We start from the raw sequence: 16,026 nt of genomic DNA on the forward strand, positions 1-16,026 counted from the left end.
ACTAGAAGCCACTAAGACATGTACTTCCTTCCTTCAGTTAAATATATCTTCTAGAATTTTTATGGCTTTAGGTCTTAGATTTAAGTCCTTGATCCATCTTGAATAGATTTTTGTGTAAGGTGAGAGATGAGGATCTACTTTCATTCTTCTACATGTGGCTTACCAATTATTCCAGCACCATTTGTTGAATAGGGTGACCTTTCTTCACTTTGTTTTTGTTTGCTTTCTCGAAGATCAGTTGGCTGTAAGTATTTGGCTTTATTTCTGGGTTCTCTATTCTGTTCCATTGCTCTATATGCCTGTTTTTACACTAATACCATGCTGTTTTGGTGACTGTGGCCTTGTAGTATAGTTTGAAGTTGGGTAACGTGATGCCTCCAGATTTGTTCTTTTTGCTTAGTCTTGCTTTGGCTATGCGGGCTCTTTTTTGGTTCCATATGAATTTTAGGATTGTTTTTTCTAGTTCTGTGAAGAATGATGGCGGTATTTTGATGGGAATTGCATTGAATTTGTAGACTGCTTTTGACAGTATGGTCATTTTCACAATATTGACTCTACCCATCCATGAGCACAGGATATGTTTCCATTTGTGTGTGTCATCTATGATTTCTTTCAGCAGTGTTTTATAGTTTTCCTTGCAGAGGTCTTTAACCTCCTTGATTAGGTATATTCCTAAGTATTTTATTTTTTTGCAGCTATTGTGAAAGTGGTTGAGTTCTTGATTTTATTCTCAGCTTGGTCGCTGTTGGTGTATAGCAGTGCTACTTATTTGTGTACATTGATTTTGTATCCTGAGACTTTACTGAATTCATTTATTAGATCTAGGAGCTTTTTGGATAGTCTTCAGGGTTTTCTAGGTATAGGATCATATCGTTGGCAAACAGCAACAGTTTGGCTTCCTCTTTACCAATTTGGATGCCCTTTCTTTCTTTCTCTTGTCTGACTGCTCTGGCTAGACCTTTTAGTACAATGTTGAATAGCAGTGGTGAAAGTGAGCACCCTTGTCTTGTTCCAGTTCTCAGGGGGAATGCTTTCAACTTTTCCTTGTTCAGTATAATGTTGGCTGTGGGTTTGTCTCCTCAGTTACTTTGCCTAAAATGTCTGAATGGTTAAATATAATTTTTTTAATTTAAAAATGATCATGTTGGAGAGAAAACCACATTAAAGATAACATATGCTACAATATCATAGAAAAGCATAAGAAACTCTTAGAATATGACATTGCCGTCATTGTTGAACAGAATTTCTCTCATTTTGGATCAGAGGCCTGCAAAAGAGAACTGAAAAAATGGAAACTGGCTTCTTTAGAGATGGGAAATATGATCTCATTGCTATTATGGATTAGGGAGAGGTTCTCAAACTTTAGCCGCAAAAGAATCATCTGGAAGGCTTGTTAAAACAGGTTGCTGGGCCTCACCTCCAGAGTTTTTTATTCAAGAGGTGGAAGAGGGCCTGAACCCTTGCATTTCTAACAATTTCCCAGGTGATGCCACTGCTGCTGGTCCAGCAACCACACCTTGAGAACCACCGTATTCATGTATATACTCAAGGTACCTTGATGATTTTTTTTTTTTTTTTTGAGACAAGAGTCTCACTCTGTCATCCAGGCTGGAGTGCAGTGGCACATCTCGGCTCACTGCAACCTCTGCCTCCTGGGTTCAAGCAATTCTCATGCCTCAGCCTCCCAAGTAGCTGGTATTACAGGCATGCATCACCATGCCTAGGTGATTTTTGTATTTTTAGTAGAGACGGGGTTTCACCATGTTGGCCAGGCTGGGTTTGAACTCCTGGCCTCAAGTGATCCATCCATCCCGGCCTCCCAAAGTGCTGGAATTATAGGCGTGAGCCACCAAGCCCAGCTGATGATTGGTTTTTAAAGTCAAGAATCTGAAAGCAATTTTATCTCCAGCCAATTTAATGTAACAGCTCTCAAACTGAAGCTATCCTATGATGTTACAATTTAGAGAATGCTGTAATATGTAATATAAGGATAATCTGATTTTCAAAAAGTTAGCCTCCTTACTTAGGAGTGACAATAGGAATAGAGCTTAGATATTTCCCAGTCCTGTCAGAGGTGTCCTTGCAGGGAGTCTGGCTCTTTTCTCCCTTTCCCTGGCCTTCATTGATCTGTCCAATTTTCCCTGGCAGAGCTCTCTTTACGAGAAAAGGAAGATCCTGGCTGGTCAGCATGAGGATGCCCGGGAGCTGAAGGAGAACCTGGATCGCAGGGAGCGAGTAGTGCTGGGCATCTTGGCCAATTACCTTTCAGAGGAGCAGCTCCAGGACTACCAGCACTTCGTGAAAATGAAGTCCACGCTCCTCATTGAGCAACGGAAGCTGGATGACAAGATCAAGCTGGGCCAGGAGCAGGTCAAGTGTCTGCTGGAGAGCCTGCCCTCAGATTTCATTCCCAAGGCTGGGGCCCTGGCTCTGCCCCCAAACCTCACGAGTGAGCCCATTCCTGCTGGGGGCTGTACTTTCAGTGGTATTTTCCCAACATTAACCTCTCCACTTTAACCTCTTCTAAAATACCCAACCAAAAGATCACTGTTTCTCTCAACACTATTTAATCTGAAAAATGTTTCAGTACAAACCACTGTTTGAACTATCTGGGTTATTGGTGTTTGTTCCTGATGAAAGGAAAAAAATTCTCTCCAGGAGGAAGCCTTTTTCCTTCTTGCCCTTCCTGATTGATCTTCTGAGAGCTCGAATGCTGCTGGACACGTACCCCTTTCTATTATTACTTTGTAGTAGAAAGAAAGTTAATGAAACTGAGAACTGATTGGAGGGTGTTTGATCATTTAGTTTTTAACAGGCTGAGGCAACATGGATCAGTGTGTGTCCCCCTCAGGAATGTATCCACAGTGGCCTTCCTTGCTGGTGGGCAGTGTATCCTGATGGCAGGGTACAAGTACCATTAATGAAGGGTCTGCAACATAAAGCCTTAAAAAGACACACACTAAGAAAACTGTAAAACCTTGAACATTGTTATTTATATTTTTTAAAATGGAAAAGATCACTATGTTTGTTGTGCTAACCACTTATTTGATTCTGTTTTGTGGTGGACATAGATGATTACGTTTGAGCTTTGTATTTTGTGAAAACCTTAATGAAATGAATTCCAAAGATAGTCACGTTGAGCGTGAAGACTTTTTTTCTTACATTCCTGTCTTATTTTTACCAACACGAGCAGGCATTCTGCGCTTCCACTGGACTGAGTATGGGGGAGTCCTGCTCCCCTCCTGTCTCACACCTTCCCCAGGAGGAAGGCCTCATGCACTGCGGTTATTGCATCATTTCCTAGTGCTTCATGTCATTATCACTGGTGGGGAAACAAAGCTAAATTTTATTAACAAAGACAACTCTCAGACCTATATAATAGGAGGAGGACGTCCAGAATCCAACAAAATTCAAACGGAGCCCATGCTGTTCTCCTGAACAAGATTTGGGCTAAATACGGCCTGTTTATTGAGGCTGTTTTAATGATGCTTTAAAAAAAAAAAATGTTTTCTAAAATGTCAAACCTGTTGACCACACTTTGATTAAAAACTGCCTCCTTAACCTCTGAAGACTGATTTTGCTTTATCATGTTTCAATAATAACATTTCAGAGGTTACTCTGTAGCCCCAGTTGTAAGCTTATAAAAACAAACTGGAAGGCTGAGGAGGTTATGGGCTGGCAGCCAGGCTATGTTTACAGCTGCTGGAGATGGCAGTAGCCTTATACTTTGAGCAGGTAGTACATCCCAGGCTGTGCTAGAGGTAGATTTGTTTTTTCACGTTTGATCTGTGGCTGGTGGCCACCTTTGTTGATTTGGGCTTACGAGTTTCATAGTAGCCAGTCTTAGAAAATTGGGGGAGTAAAATTTTGAAGTAAAAAAAAAAAAAAAATGACAAGGGAACCAAATGCTCCTTCTCCCCTTAGTACATTTTCATTACTTAATGAAGTTTTATCTCCTATGTAAGAATATCAAAATTGTAGTTTGGGTCTCCAGTAGAGATGTCTTTTGATTAACTTATAAACAACTGGCCACCCAGAAGTTTCCTTTGCATAGTCAACCAAAGCTATGGCTTTGTTCTTTGGAGCTTATATACTGCATGACTCCATTGATACAAATAAGACAGCACCTTGGTTTCCCAGGGATGTTTTCATTCAGAGGTCCTGTCTCCCAGGAAAGCAGTAGAACCAGTGACAGCATTCAACAGCCACACTGCATGGTCATCAGTCTTAGGCCAACATGGGAGCCTGAAATTAACTCCATCAGTAACTACCTGTGTGTCTTGCTGATACTGAATGAGCCCTCACAAGCCAAGCCAGGTGGAAGACAGCCAGCAAACGTCTACAGTTATTCTTAGTGAAATTCCTCAGAGGAATCCAGGGGGCTCCCAGTTCCCAACACTCTTCGAGATGACCATTTTTCGGGATTTGACTGGGGAACATTTTACATATTCAGTCTTTCTCAAAAATTTTTATTTATTTTCTTGAGAAAGGGTCTTACTATGTTGCCCAGGCTGGAGTGCAGAGTGGTGCGATAACAGCTCATTGCAGTCTGAACCTCTGAGGCTCAAGCCATCCTCCCATCTCAGCCTCCCAAGTAGCTGGGACCACAGGTGTGCACCACTATGCTTGGCTAATTTTTTGATTTTTTATAGAGACGGGGGTCTCGCTATGTTGCCCAGGCTGGTTTCAAACTCCTGGGCTCAAGGGATCCTTCCGCTTTGGTCCCAGAAGTGCTGGGATTACAGGCATGAGCCACTTCACCCAGCCACTTTTCTAATTTATAGACATAAAAGTAATTGACTCCCACAGCACAGTAACAGGCAATGCTGCTTGGCATGCCACAAACATCTGAAAGCTTGTGACACTCCTAGGATTGTGTCCATTCTTTCATTATGTGGAAACTTTGTTCTGTTATGTGAAATGGGTAAGGCACCAAGTGAGACTTTGAAATCTAATTTTTAGGTGGATGTGATATTTATTGTAATAGGACTTGACCTCTGTACTTTAAAGAAATCACTAACCAAATTTTCAAAGTTTCCTTTTAAATGCGTTTAGCTAGAAATCTATGTATTTATCCCTTTCCTATTTTGCATTCTTCTCCCACTATTTTTAAAAACTCATTTACAGTAGAAACCATTCTTCTTTCTCCCAACAGTATCCTTTGCCAAGACCATGAGAACAGTAAGGAGCATGTTGTTGGTCAGGGTTTCAGAATACGCGTGATGTCACTGAGAATGTTTGCTCACAGTCAATAATTGTCTTTGTGGATGTGATAATTTTGGAGATACACTTCTGGTCAGAACTCAGGTGAGATAATCTTGCAATACTCCAAATGCAGATACTCCAGCCACCCGCAAGGTTCCAGGAAAGGACAATGTCCTGCGAGAAAATCAGGAGGCCTCCACTTCCTGGGCCACTTGAGAAGTTCCTGGGCATGTCACTACATGTTGGTTGACTCAGCCATTTCTCATGCTGTTTTGTTTCTTGCGGTGGCCACTTAACCCCAAAGAATGAAGGGAGGATCCACAGTGAAAGTGCCTGAGTTTCTCTATGAGACCAGATGCTGTCGAAACCAAACATCTTTTCCTTTGCTCTATGGGAACATTTTAGGGTTTGTTTTGCACAGCTGGTTTCCAGACTAGAAGATTAACAAGTTTGGGTCCACCCCTAAGAATCAGTGGCTGTCTTTTAAGGTGAGGAGTGTGGGCTTAACTGAGGTCCTTTGAGGGAGCTATAAAGGAGAAACAACCTGGGACATCCCAGTTTTCCTATTCCTCCACTGTTAATATCTCATCTAAAATAATTCATGAGTTTAAATGGTAAATATATGCTTTAAGCTCTACCTTTAAACTTGTATGTTATTCAGGCATCTCTTATTAAGATACTGGGTCTCTGGATACCCAAGGAAATGTTGGCTTTTTATTCTTATGTGGTTCCAAATTTACTTCTCTTCAGTTTAATTGTCCATGGTAGTGCTGGCTTCATTGTTAGGTTGGAGTTATTATTTTCCTTTTAGAACAACATGAATTTTATTCACCTTACTATTAGAAAAAGGAATAACTACAGCCAGAAATAACTTCATTTCCTACAAGGTATAAAAAGTGGTCAAGTGAATGTGAAGGGGCTTTTCTACACAGGAATATATTATCGGGAACAAAGTATTTCCTGCTGCCTTAACTCTTTGGGATGCATAGGATAAAATGATAAAGACCATTTTAATATCAGAAAGGGTTGTCTTATTAATTTTTAAATAAAACTTCACATTTCTTAATGGGGAGCTCATTCAGAAACTAAATAATGGTTTCTCAAAGTGTGGTCAGGATACGATCTGCATCAGAATCCTTGGAATGCTTGTTAAAAATACCAATTGCTATGACAAAACCAAGTCTGCTGGAAACTGCATTTCAGCAGGTTTCCCATGTTATTCTGATGTATTTTAACATTTGAGAGCCACTACCAATCATCTGTACAGTTCCTACTGTTATGATCACAATAAGACTAACATGAATTTAATAATCTGAATAATTTTTAAAATTTAAATAAACAGAAATTGAAGTTAAATTTAAAAATAAAAATAACCTCAGAAGTTGAAAGTCCTGTCATATTTATTCTATTAGCTATATAAGTTTATACTGTCTCCACTACTTTTATATAATCCCCAAGGTTGTGATACAGATTTTGTTCCCTGTTTACTCTTTTTTAGATCTGTTTTAAACAAGTTATGCACTTATTCAGATTTAATTGCACTAATTATTTTTCCTCAAAAGGAATCAGTTTTATCACACATTGCCAGTAATTTTAAGTTCTGCCCTGACTGAAATTAATCAACTGGCCTTTTCAGTGGGAACTTTACTGATTTAGTGGGAATCAGATTCCTGTTGCTTCATCACAAATGTTATCCTACATATGAGTTAGAACCTCTCCTTGGTGTGGATTTGACAATTTAGCTAATGAAACAAGACTGTGTTCATTTTCTTTGAGAAATGAAAGCAGCTGTCACCCAATTTTGAAACTCTAAAATCAAAATTAGGCAAGAAGAAAGTTGTGAATGAAAAAACTGGCTCATTGATTCCTACTTCATTCTATAAATTATTCTCTAGGTGGAAAGGCAGCTGTATTTCTTGCTTAAACACTGGTATTGCTATTGCTTTACAGTAGGTTGAACAGGGGAAATATTTATATAAAGAGTTATTAAATTCTGATAAACGAGTGACTATAGGACATAAGGAAATTCTCTCTGGTACCCTAGAGCTAAGGAAGAGTACTCAAGGAAAGACAAACTGGGAAAGAGTCCCAAGCCTGAGGTTCAGACCTCCTTGGAGAACTGAACTCGACCCACATAGCAGGGAAGTTAGCTGGTTTGCCCAGGCTGGAACTGGTCTGCAGTCCCTGAGCGCATAGGAAGCAACCCTCCAGAGTGCAGGCTGGGTCAGTCCACCAGCAACCAACAGCCTGGCTGTGCACAGAGTGGGGGCCTGCAGCAGGCGTGGCTGCCCAGTGGGAACCCTCCAGGTCACAGGTGATCCTCACAGGATCTTCAGAGAGTGAGGAGCCAGTGTTGGCAGAAGGCCTTCCGGGCACTGATGCAGCAGGAATCTTTCAGGGCTCAAGTTTGTAATCCACAGGCCCAGGAGAAGGTTATGGCCAGAATGAGGCTTCAAGGTCCCAAGGCACCACCAATTGTAGGCAGTGGTTGGAAGAGAACTCCATCAGATGTCCTCACACCCATACCACTGACCCATAAGGCAGCAGCCACAAAGGGCCCCAACAGCACCCCCTATGGAGAGAGCTTAACATCGTGCTGACTGTAAAAGATGCTTAAAAGGACCCTGCCCATTACACAGACACTTGATTGAAGGGTTATTCCAGAGCTGAGCCAATAAATTGATAGCCGTCACAGACACATTGTTCTACATATATACCCTGGCATTATCTTCTGATACCACATGTAATTTTATAGTTGCTGATTCTGTAAGAACCATTTCTCAGATAATAAAACAGTGCCTATAAAATGGCCAACATATCTCTTGAAGGAGGTGTCAAAAGGAAAGCAGTTTCTCATTTATGTTTTCTTTAAACATGCTCCATACACCTATATTACTCAAAGTATCTAAATCAATAGATTTAGATTCAGGCCGATTTAAGAGCATGTCTAAGGTTTGTTTCTGTTGAGGTCTCTCTCTGCCTAGCTCTGCCTCTGTATACCTCTGTATGTGTCTACGTCTCTCTTGGTGTGTCTCCACATATGTTTTTCTCTATCTCAACATCTGCAACTGTCATACTTTCCTGTTCATTTATTCCCAAAATGATTCATATTTATACATTAAGTTCAGTGGTGCAATCATAGCTCACCACAGCCTCGAACTCCCAGGCTCAGGCGATCCTCCTGCTTCAGCCTCCCAAGTAGCTGGGACCACAGGCATGAGCCACCACACCTGGCTAATTTTTTAAAATATTTTTGGCAGAGATGGGGTCTCCCTATGTTGCCCAGGCTGGTCTCAAACTCCTGGGCTGAAGCAATCCTCCTGCCTCAGCCTCCCAAAGTGCTGGGATTACAGGCATGAGCCACCATGCCCAGGTGTTTTGTTTGTTTGTTTTAATTTGAAAGAAAAATTAAGAATCTCACCTCATTTTAAATTTTAATAAATATAAAGAAGATGTTGCAATATTGTTTAAATATATGTAAGAGTGAATGAGAACTATTCCTCATCTCTAATTAGAACAGAATATAGGAATTGGCTTTATTTTGTAGTAATAAAAATTGATTTGATAAAAAGGAACAATTCAAAGGCAGCTCATGGATACGGAAATGAGAATTTTAAAAGCCCATCTTCCCTCAAAGATTAAAAGAAAAAAAAGAAATAGAATACCTAACCTTGTATGCAATGGTTTAGAGCAGATTTATTAAAAGGCAGGGAGGTAGTCGGATGTCTCCTTCCAGTGAAAGTAGATAGGCAGAAAAGGAACTTAAGCTTAGGATAAAAAGAACAAACAACATCTTCCAAGTTGCCTCAAAAGGTCAACCTCAGTTTGATAATGTATCACTCAATGTGTTTTTTGTTTTTTTGTTTTGGTTTTGTTTTGGTTTTTTGAGACAGAGTGAGCCCGTAATCCCAGCCCTTTGGGAGGCTGAGGTGGGTGCATTATTTGAGGTCAGGAGATCGAGACCAGCCTGGCCAACATGCTGAAACCCCGTCTCTACTGAAAAAAAAAAAAAATTAGCCAGGTGTGGTGGTGCATGCCTGTGGTCCTAGCTACTCTGGAGGCCAAGGCAGGAGAACTGCTTGAACCCAGCAGGCGGAGGGTGCAGTAAGATGAGATCGCACCACTGCACTCCAGCCTGGGCAACAGAGTGAGACTCTGTCTCAAACAAACAAACAAACAAACAAACAAAACAAATTGTAAGTCCTTCTTGCAAATGTTGGTTAAAAGCTAACTAAGGAGTAATGTGCTTAGGAAGAAGAAACTAAGAAAATCAATTTACGGTGTGGTTAAGTAATGTGCCTCTACAGGTAGATGAGAGAGACGCATGTGTAGGAAGGGAGGTACAGCAGGAAAACTGTGTGTTCATCATGACTCTGGATGATTAAATATGTGCATTCACACAGGTAATTGAGAAGATATATGGTATGTCTGCTAACAAAAGTAGAACTACAGCTCTTCAGATCATATTGATCAGAAATCAGTAGAAAGTACCAAATAAAGACTTCTATCTACAGGAGATTCGTGGCATTGAGCAAGATGGCCAACTGGAAGCCCCTGGTGCTCGTCTCTCTCACAATGACAACCAGAACAATGAATAAACAACTACATTTTAACAAAAATAAGTGAGGGACGGTGCATCAGAGAAGTAACAGAAACCCCAGTGAGCAGAGAAATTCAGGATGGCCAAAGAGAATGGAAGGAAATCCTGGGCCTCTATTGCCCTGTCCCCAAACTGGGACTAGCTGGGAACCAGGAAGAACTTCTTCTTATGGTGAGGAGGTAAGAGGATTCCATAAATCCCCATCAGCACCTTGGATATCTACAAACCTCACCACTGGAGTCCCCTGCAGTCCTCACAGTTACTCAACCCAGCTGGGGGAGCTGCCTGGAGTCCACATAGCGTGCTCCTCCCAGAGAAGGAGCCAACACCATGCTGTGCCCCACGGCCCATGTGGCTGCTGCGCTATACCATCTTGGAACTAAAACTACAGCTGGAGTGTGTCTTGCTCCAGGGGTGCATAGCCACGGCTCCCTTTCATCCCTGAGGCTAAGCTGCCACTAAACCACCCCATCCCAGTGGCCTGACATCCCCAAGCTGAGCTGCAAGTAGCTGTTACAGCCTTCCCCAGGGCCAAGCAGAGGTGGAGTCACTCCACCTACCCCTACCCCTGCCCTTTCAGGCCGGAGCTGAAGTGGCACCCTGCCTCCCAGCAACAGTACCTAAGCCGTTCAGAGCAGCCACTCTTCCCCTATGCCTAAGTTGAAGCAGCACTCTGCATCCCAAGAAATGATGCCTTGGCTGCCACGCAGAGCAGCCATGCACCCTAGGACTTACGCTGATGCAGGGCCCTGCAACTGAGGGAAATGGTCCCTGAGCCACCCAGAACAGTCATGCCTCCCAGTCCTGAAGCAGCACAGCCCCTGGGGAATCGGTGCCTTGGCCAAGCTGAGCAGCTGTGATTCCAGGGCTGAGCTGATGTAGTACCCCATATCCCAGGGAAATAGAGCAGTGGTTGAGGTGAGACACCCTGCCCTACAGGCCAAACAACTCCAGTACCCTGTGCTTCCTTGGGGCTGGACTAGCTCCCTCAAGTACAAACTGCTGAGATGCCCCTCTTCTTGGGAAGTGAAGATATCACTTGCTGTTCCCTGCTCCCCCAAGGCCCAAATGAGAGATGTGCTCCACCATTCTGGGACACTTGCTGCCACCGCACCTGGCCTCTCACTCTGGGACACTGCCGGGTCCCACCATCCCATGGTCTAGAGGAGGGGTATCCAATCATTTGGTTTCCCTGGGCCACAGTGGAAGAAAAATAGTCTTGGGCCACACGTAAAATGCACTAACACTAACGAAAGGTGACAATAGCTGACAAGCTTAAAAAAAAAACTCAATGTTTTAAGAAAGTTTATGAATTTGTGTTGGGCCACATACAAAGTCATCTGAACCACATGTGGCCACACACCATAAGTTAGATAAGCTTAGTTTAGAGTCACTACTACACGGTCACCTTATGGGACCTGAGTTGCCACTGAGCCCTATTGGCTCAAGTTCCCAGATTGCAGGGATCTCCTGCTCCCCAGGCCCAAACCTCCAGAGCACCTTGTTCTTCCTGAGTCTGGCCAGTGGTGTGCCTGCATCCAGTGGAAGAACCATCACCACAACCCTGCCTGAGCTACAAGGGATGACTCAGAGTTACCGATTCTGGCAGTGTGGGCAACCTACATCCAACCCTGCCACAGAGAGCAAATCTACACCCCAAGACCCAAGTGCCACAATGGGTTTGTAAGACTCTGAGCCCTACAGCTGCTCTGAGCACCTGCACCTCAAACCCAGTGCTGATGCAGCTGCTTGTAGACCATGTCATACCTGACACCAAGAGGAATCCCTTTAACTCCCCTCATCTACTTGAATACAATAATAGAAGAAGACTTCAACACCCCACTGTCAGCACTGGACAAATTATCAAGACAGAAAATTAACAAAGAAACATTGGATTTAAACTGCCCTTTAGGTCAAATGAACCTAACAGACATTTACAAAACATTTCATCCAACAGCTGCACAATACATATTCTTTTTATCAGCACATGGGATACTCTCCAGGATAAACCCCATGTCAGGCCACAAAACAAGTCTTGAAAATTTTTAAATAATTAAAATTATGTCAAGTATCTTTTCTGACCACAATAGAATAAAAATAGAAATCAATAAGAAGAACTTTACAAATATGGAAATTAAACAACATGTTCCTGAATGACCAATGGGTCAATGAAGAAGTCAAGAAGGAAATTAGCCAGGCACGGTGGCTCATGTTTATAATCCCATCCGTTGGGAAGGCTGAGGCAGGAGGATTGCTTGAGCCCAGGAGTTTGAGACAAGCCTCAGTAACATAGCAAGAGTCTATATCTACAAAATACTTTTTTAAAAAATTAGCCAGGCATAGTGGCAGTCTCCTATAGTCCTTGCTACTCAGGAGGCTGGGACAGGAGGATTGCTTGAGCTGAGGTGTTCAAGGCTGCAATGAGCTATGACTACACCACTGCATTCCAGCCTGGGGAACAGAGCAAGATCCTGTCTCTAAAAAAATGAAATAAAAAAGGAAAAACTTTTAAAATTTTTTGAAACAAATGAAAATAGAAACAACATACTAAAACCTATGGAATACAACAAAAGCAGTATTAAGAAGAACATTTATGGCAATAAACACCTACATCAAAAAAATTTAAAGGTTTCAAATAAACAGTGTAACAATGTGTCTCAAGAAACTAGAAAAGCAAGAATAAACCAAACCCAAAATTAGAAGGAAAGAAATACTAAAGATCAGAGCAGAAAGAAACAAAATTCGGACTAAAAACAAATACAATTAAAAAAAAATCAGTGAAATGAAAAGTTGGTTTTTTGAAAAGATGAACAAAAATTGACAAACCACTAGCTAGACTAACCAAGAAAAAAGAGAAAAACCCCAAATAAAATCAGAAGCAAAAAAGGAGACAGTACAACTGACACTACAGAAATACAAAGGATCACTACAAACTATTACTAACAACTATGTGCCAACAAGTTAGAAAACCTGGCAAAAATGGATAAATTCCTGGACCATACAACCTACCAAGATTGAACCAAGAATAAATAGGAAGTCTAAATACACCAACAAGTAACAAGATTGAATCTGTAATAAAAAGTCTACCATCAAGGGGCCGGGCGTGGTGGCTCACGCCTGTAATCCCAGCACTTTGGGAGGCTGAGATGGGCAGATCACAAGGTCAGGAGATCGAGACCATCCTGGCTAACCTGGTGAAACCCCGTCTCTACTAAAAATACAAAAAAATTAGCCAGGCCTGTAGTGGCGGGTGCCTGTAGTCCCAGCTACCCAGGAGGCTGAGGCAGGAGAATGGCGTGAACCTGGGTGGGGCAGAGTTTTGCAGTGAGCCGAGATCATGCCACTGCACTCCAGCCTGGGCAACAGAGCGAGACTCCGTCTCAAAAAAAAAAAAAAAAAAAAAAAGTCTACCATCAAGGAAAAGCCCAGGAACCAATGGCTTTTCTGTGGAATTCTACCAAACATTTAAAGAAGGACTAATACCAATTCTTCTCAAACTCTTCCAGATAATTGAAGAGGAAGAAATTCTTCCAAACTCGTTCTGTGAGCCCAGTATTGATATCAAAACCAGACAAGGATGGACAGACACACACACACACACACACACACACACACACACACACCCCCCTATAGGCCAATATTCCTGATGAACATAGATACAAAAATGCTCAACAAAATAATAGCAAACTGAATCTGGCAGCACATTAAAAACATCATTCACCATACATAATCAAGCCAGATTTATCCCAGGGATACAAGTATAGTTTAACATATGCAAATCAATAAACACGATACATCACATTAATATAATAGAGGGCAAAAACCATATGATCATCTCAATAGACACGGAAAAAGCATTTGATAAAATTCAACATACCTTCATGATAAACACCTCCAACAAGGTAAGTATAGAAAGAATATACCTCAACACAATAAAGACCATATATAACAAACTCACAATCAACATCATACCAAATGAGGAAAAGTTGAAATCCTTTCCTCCAAACTCTGCAACAACACAACAGTGTCCACTTTCCTCACTTTTATTCAACATAGTACAGGAATTCCTAGCCAGAGCAATTAGGCAACAGAAAGAAATAAAGGGCATCCAAACTGGAAAAGAGGAAGTCAAATTTTCTGTTTGCAGATAATGTGACGTTATATATAGAAAACCCTAAAAAGCTGTACTAGAAAACTCTTAGAACTGATAAATTCAGTAAAGTTGCAGTGTACAAAATCAATATACAAAAATCAATAGCATTTCTATACACCAGCAACAAAGTAGCAGAAAAAGAAGTCAAAGTAATCCCATTTACAATAGCTACCAAAAAATAATAATAAAAGGCCTAGGCATAAAATGAACCAAGCAGGTGAAAGATTTCTAGAAGAAAATCTATAAAACACCAATGAAAGAAATGTAAGAGGATGAAAAAAAAAAAAAAAGAAAGAAAAGATATTCCATGTTCATGGCTTGGAAGAATTAATATTGTGAAAATGACCATACTACCAAAAGCTATCTATAGATTCAATACAATCCCTGCCAAAATACTAATGACATTCTTCACAAAAATAGAAAAAAAAATCCTAAAATTCACACAGAACCATTTAAAAATGGGCTAATGAGCTCAATAAACACCTCAAAAGAAGACATACAAATGGCCAGCTGGGATATGAAAAAATGCTCAACATCACTAAATTTTCAACATCAGAGAAACAAAAATCAAAACCACAATGAGGTATCATGTCAGTCCAATTAGAACAGCTATTATCAAAAAAACAAAAAATAAATTCTGGCAAGGATGTGAAGAAGGGGGAACTCTTATACAATCTTGGTGGGAATGTAAATTAGTACGGACATTATGGAAAGCTGTACAGAGGTTCTTCAAAAAACTAAAGACAGAACTATCACATAATCCAGCAATCTCACTACTGGGTATATATACAAAAGAAAGGAAATTAGTATGTCAAAGAGGTATCTGCACCCCCATCTTTATTCCAGCACTATTCACAATACCCTAAGATAGACTCAACCTAAGTGTCAGTCAATAGATGAATGGATAAAGAAAATGTGTTATATATACCCAATGGAACACTATTTAGCCACAAAAAAGAACAAATCTCTGTCATTCATGACAACATGGTTGAGCTAGGAGGACATTATCTTAAGTGAAATAAGCCAGACACAAAGACAAACACAGTATGCTCTCACTCATAGTGGAGGCTAAAAAAGTTGACCTCATACTGAACATATCTAAGGCAAAATAGAGATGATGAAAGGGTCAGTGAACTTTAAATAGATCAATAGGAATTCAGTTTGAATAACAGAAAAAATGAAGGATTTTAATAAATTACAAAGAACCAGGAGTCTGTAATTGTAATCTCTAGACTATGAATTTTAAAATGCAAAAAGTTATAACTAAAAGGCCAGTTAATAAGTTAAAATAAAATTTTGGCCAGGCACAGTGGCTCATGCCTGTAATCCCAGCCCTTTGGGAGGCTGAGGTGGGCAGATCACTTGAGGTCAGGAGTTGGAGACCACCCTAGCCAACATGATGAAACTCCATCTCTACTGAAAAAAAAAATACAAAAATTAGCTGCTCATGGTTGCATGCCTGTAATCCAAGCTACTCTGGTGGCTGAGGCAGGAGAATCACTTGAACCTGGGAGGCAGAGTTTGCAGTAAGCTGAGATTGCACCACTGCACTCCAGCCTGGGTGACAGAGGAAGACTCCATCTCAAAAAAAAAAAAAAGAAAGAAATTTTAAAAAATACTGACTTCAAAAGAGAGCAGGAAAGGAAGAACAGAGAAACAAAGAAGAAAGGAGACAAACAGAAAACATTAATACTTTAACCCTAAACTCAACATTATCAGTAACTGTACTACATTTTAGTGAGCTAAACATTCCAATTTAAAGGTAGTAATTGTCCAAATAAATTATAAAGCCAAGACCCAACTTTATTTTCAAGATACACTTAAATATTTAGAAAGTAATATATTAAAGGTAATTAGATGAAAAATGATATGCAATCAGTACCATGCAATCAGTAACCATAAAACTGAAGTGGCTATATTAATATCAGATAAAATACATACAAGACTAAAAGTTTTACCACAGATAAAGAGGGCAATTTCATAGTGATAAAAGTGTCAATTCATCAAAAAATATAATACATATCTATTTGAAAAGCTTCAAAATACATAACACAATTGACAAAATTAA

At 40.7% G+C, this 16,026-nt stretch overlaps 1 protein-coding gene and 1 long non-coding RNA gene across 4 annotated transcripts in view, besides 9 other annotated features; one reads left to right on the forward strand and one right to left on the reverse strand.

Moving 5' to 3' along the window:
* Positions 1 to 6,593, forward strand: part of SHROOM3 (shroom family member 3) — a 348,025-nt gene extending 341,432 nt beyond the window's left edge. The window contains exon 11 of the mRNA NM_020859.4: positions 2,149 to 6,593. Within this exon, the coding sequence (NP_065910.3) occupies positions 2,149 to 2,517 (369 nt within the window). The 3' untranslated portion in view covers positions 2,518 to 6,593. The remainder of the gene's footprint in view (positions 1 to 2,148) is intronic.
* The window catches only part of SHROOM3-AS1 (SHROOM3 antisense RNA 1), a 92,558-nt gene that overhangs the window by 66,755 nt on the left and 9,777 nt on the right, over positions 1 to 16,026 (reverse strand). The gene's annotated exons all lie outside the window — the stretch shown is intronic.
* Positions 4,843 to 6,042: an enhancer, noted in NCBI's record as "P300/CBP strongly-dependent group 1 enhancer chr4:77702656-77703855 (GRCh37/hg19 assembly coordinates)". NCBI's record gives its function as "activates an origin of replication core promoter dependent on BRD2, BRD4, P300/CBP, MED14 and CDK7 cofactors, with strong dependence on P300/CBP, by STARR-seq in HCT116 cells {active_cell/tissue: HCT116}" and the evidence as "EXISTENCE:reporter gene assay evidence [ECO:0000049][PMID:35650434]".
* Positions 5,082 to 6,041: an enhancer, noted in NCBI's record as "H3K27ac hESC enhancer chr4:77702895-77703854 (GRCh37/hg19 assembly coordinates)". NCBI's record gives its function as "activates a minimal SCP1, AML or CMV promoter by ChIP-STARR-seq in naive H9 embryonic stem cells {active_cell/tissue: H9 hESC(naive)}" and the evidence as "EXISTENCE:reporter gene assay evidence [ECO:0000049][PMID:30033119]".
* Positions 5,173 to 5,542: an enhancer, noted in NCBI's record as "active region_21631". NCBI's record gives its function as "activates an Ori minimal core promoter by ATAC-STARR-seq in GM12878 lymphoblastoid cells {active_cell/tissue: GM12878}" and the evidence as "EXISTENCE:reporter gene assay evidence [ECO:0000049][PMID:35858748]".
* Positions 5,276 to 5,570: an enhancer, noted in NCBI's record as "tiled region #8749; HepG2 Activating non-DNase unmatched - State 8:EnhW". NCBI's record gives its function as "activates a minimal TATA promoter and a strong SV40 promoter by Sharpr-MPRA in HepG2 cells {active_cell/tissue: HepG2}" and the evidence as "EXISTENCE:reporter gene assay evidence [ECO:0000049][PMID:27701403]".
* Positions 7,638 to 7,707: a silencer, noted in NCBI's record as "silent region_15490". NCBI's record gives its function as "represses an Ori minimal core promoter by ATAC-STARR-seq in GM12878 lymphoblastoid cells {active_cell/tissue: GM12878}" and the evidence as "EXISTENCE:reporter gene assay evidence [ECO:0000049][PMID:35858748]".
* Positions 7,718 to 7,767: a silencer, noted in NCBI's record as "silent region_15491". NCBI's record gives its function as "represses an Ori minimal core promoter by ATAC-STARR-seq in GM12878 lymphoblastoid cells {active_cell/tissue: GM12878}" and the evidence as "EXISTENCE:reporter gene assay evidence [ECO:0000049][PMID:35858748]".
* Positions 7,818 to 7,887: a silencer, noted in NCBI's record as "silent region_15492". NCBI's record gives its function as "represses an Ori minimal core promoter by ATAC-STARR-seq in GM12878 lymphoblastoid cells {active_cell/tissue: GM12878}" and the evidence as "EXISTENCE:reporter gene assay evidence [ECO:0000049][PMID:35858748]".
* Positions 9,936 to 10,437: an enhancer, noted in NCBI's record as "H3K4me1 hESC enhancer chr4:77707749-77708250 (GRCh37/hg19 assembly coordinates)". NCBI's record gives its function as "activates a minimal SCP1, AML or CMV promoter by ChIP-STARR-seq in naive H9 embryonic stem cells {active_cell/tissue: H9 hESC(naive)}" and the evidence as "EXISTENCE:reporter gene assay evidence [ECO:0000049][PMID:30033119]".
* Positions 10,438 to 10,937: an enhancer, noted in NCBI's record as "H3K4me1 hESC enhancer chr4:77708251-77708750 (GRCh37/hg19 assembly coordinates)". NCBI's record gives its function as "activates a minimal SCP1, AML or CMV promoter by ChIP-STARR-seq in naive H9 embryonic stem cells {active_cell/tissue: H9 hESC(naive)}" and the evidence as "EXISTENCE:reporter gene assay evidence [ECO:0000049][PMID:30033119]".

The sequence above is a fragment of the Homo sapiens genome, chromosome 4 (genome assembly GCF_000001405.40).
Source record: "Homo sapiens chromosome 4, GRCh38.p14 Primary Assembly".
NCBI lineage: Eukaryota > Metazoa > Chordata > Mammalia > Primates > Hominidae > Homo > Homo sapiens.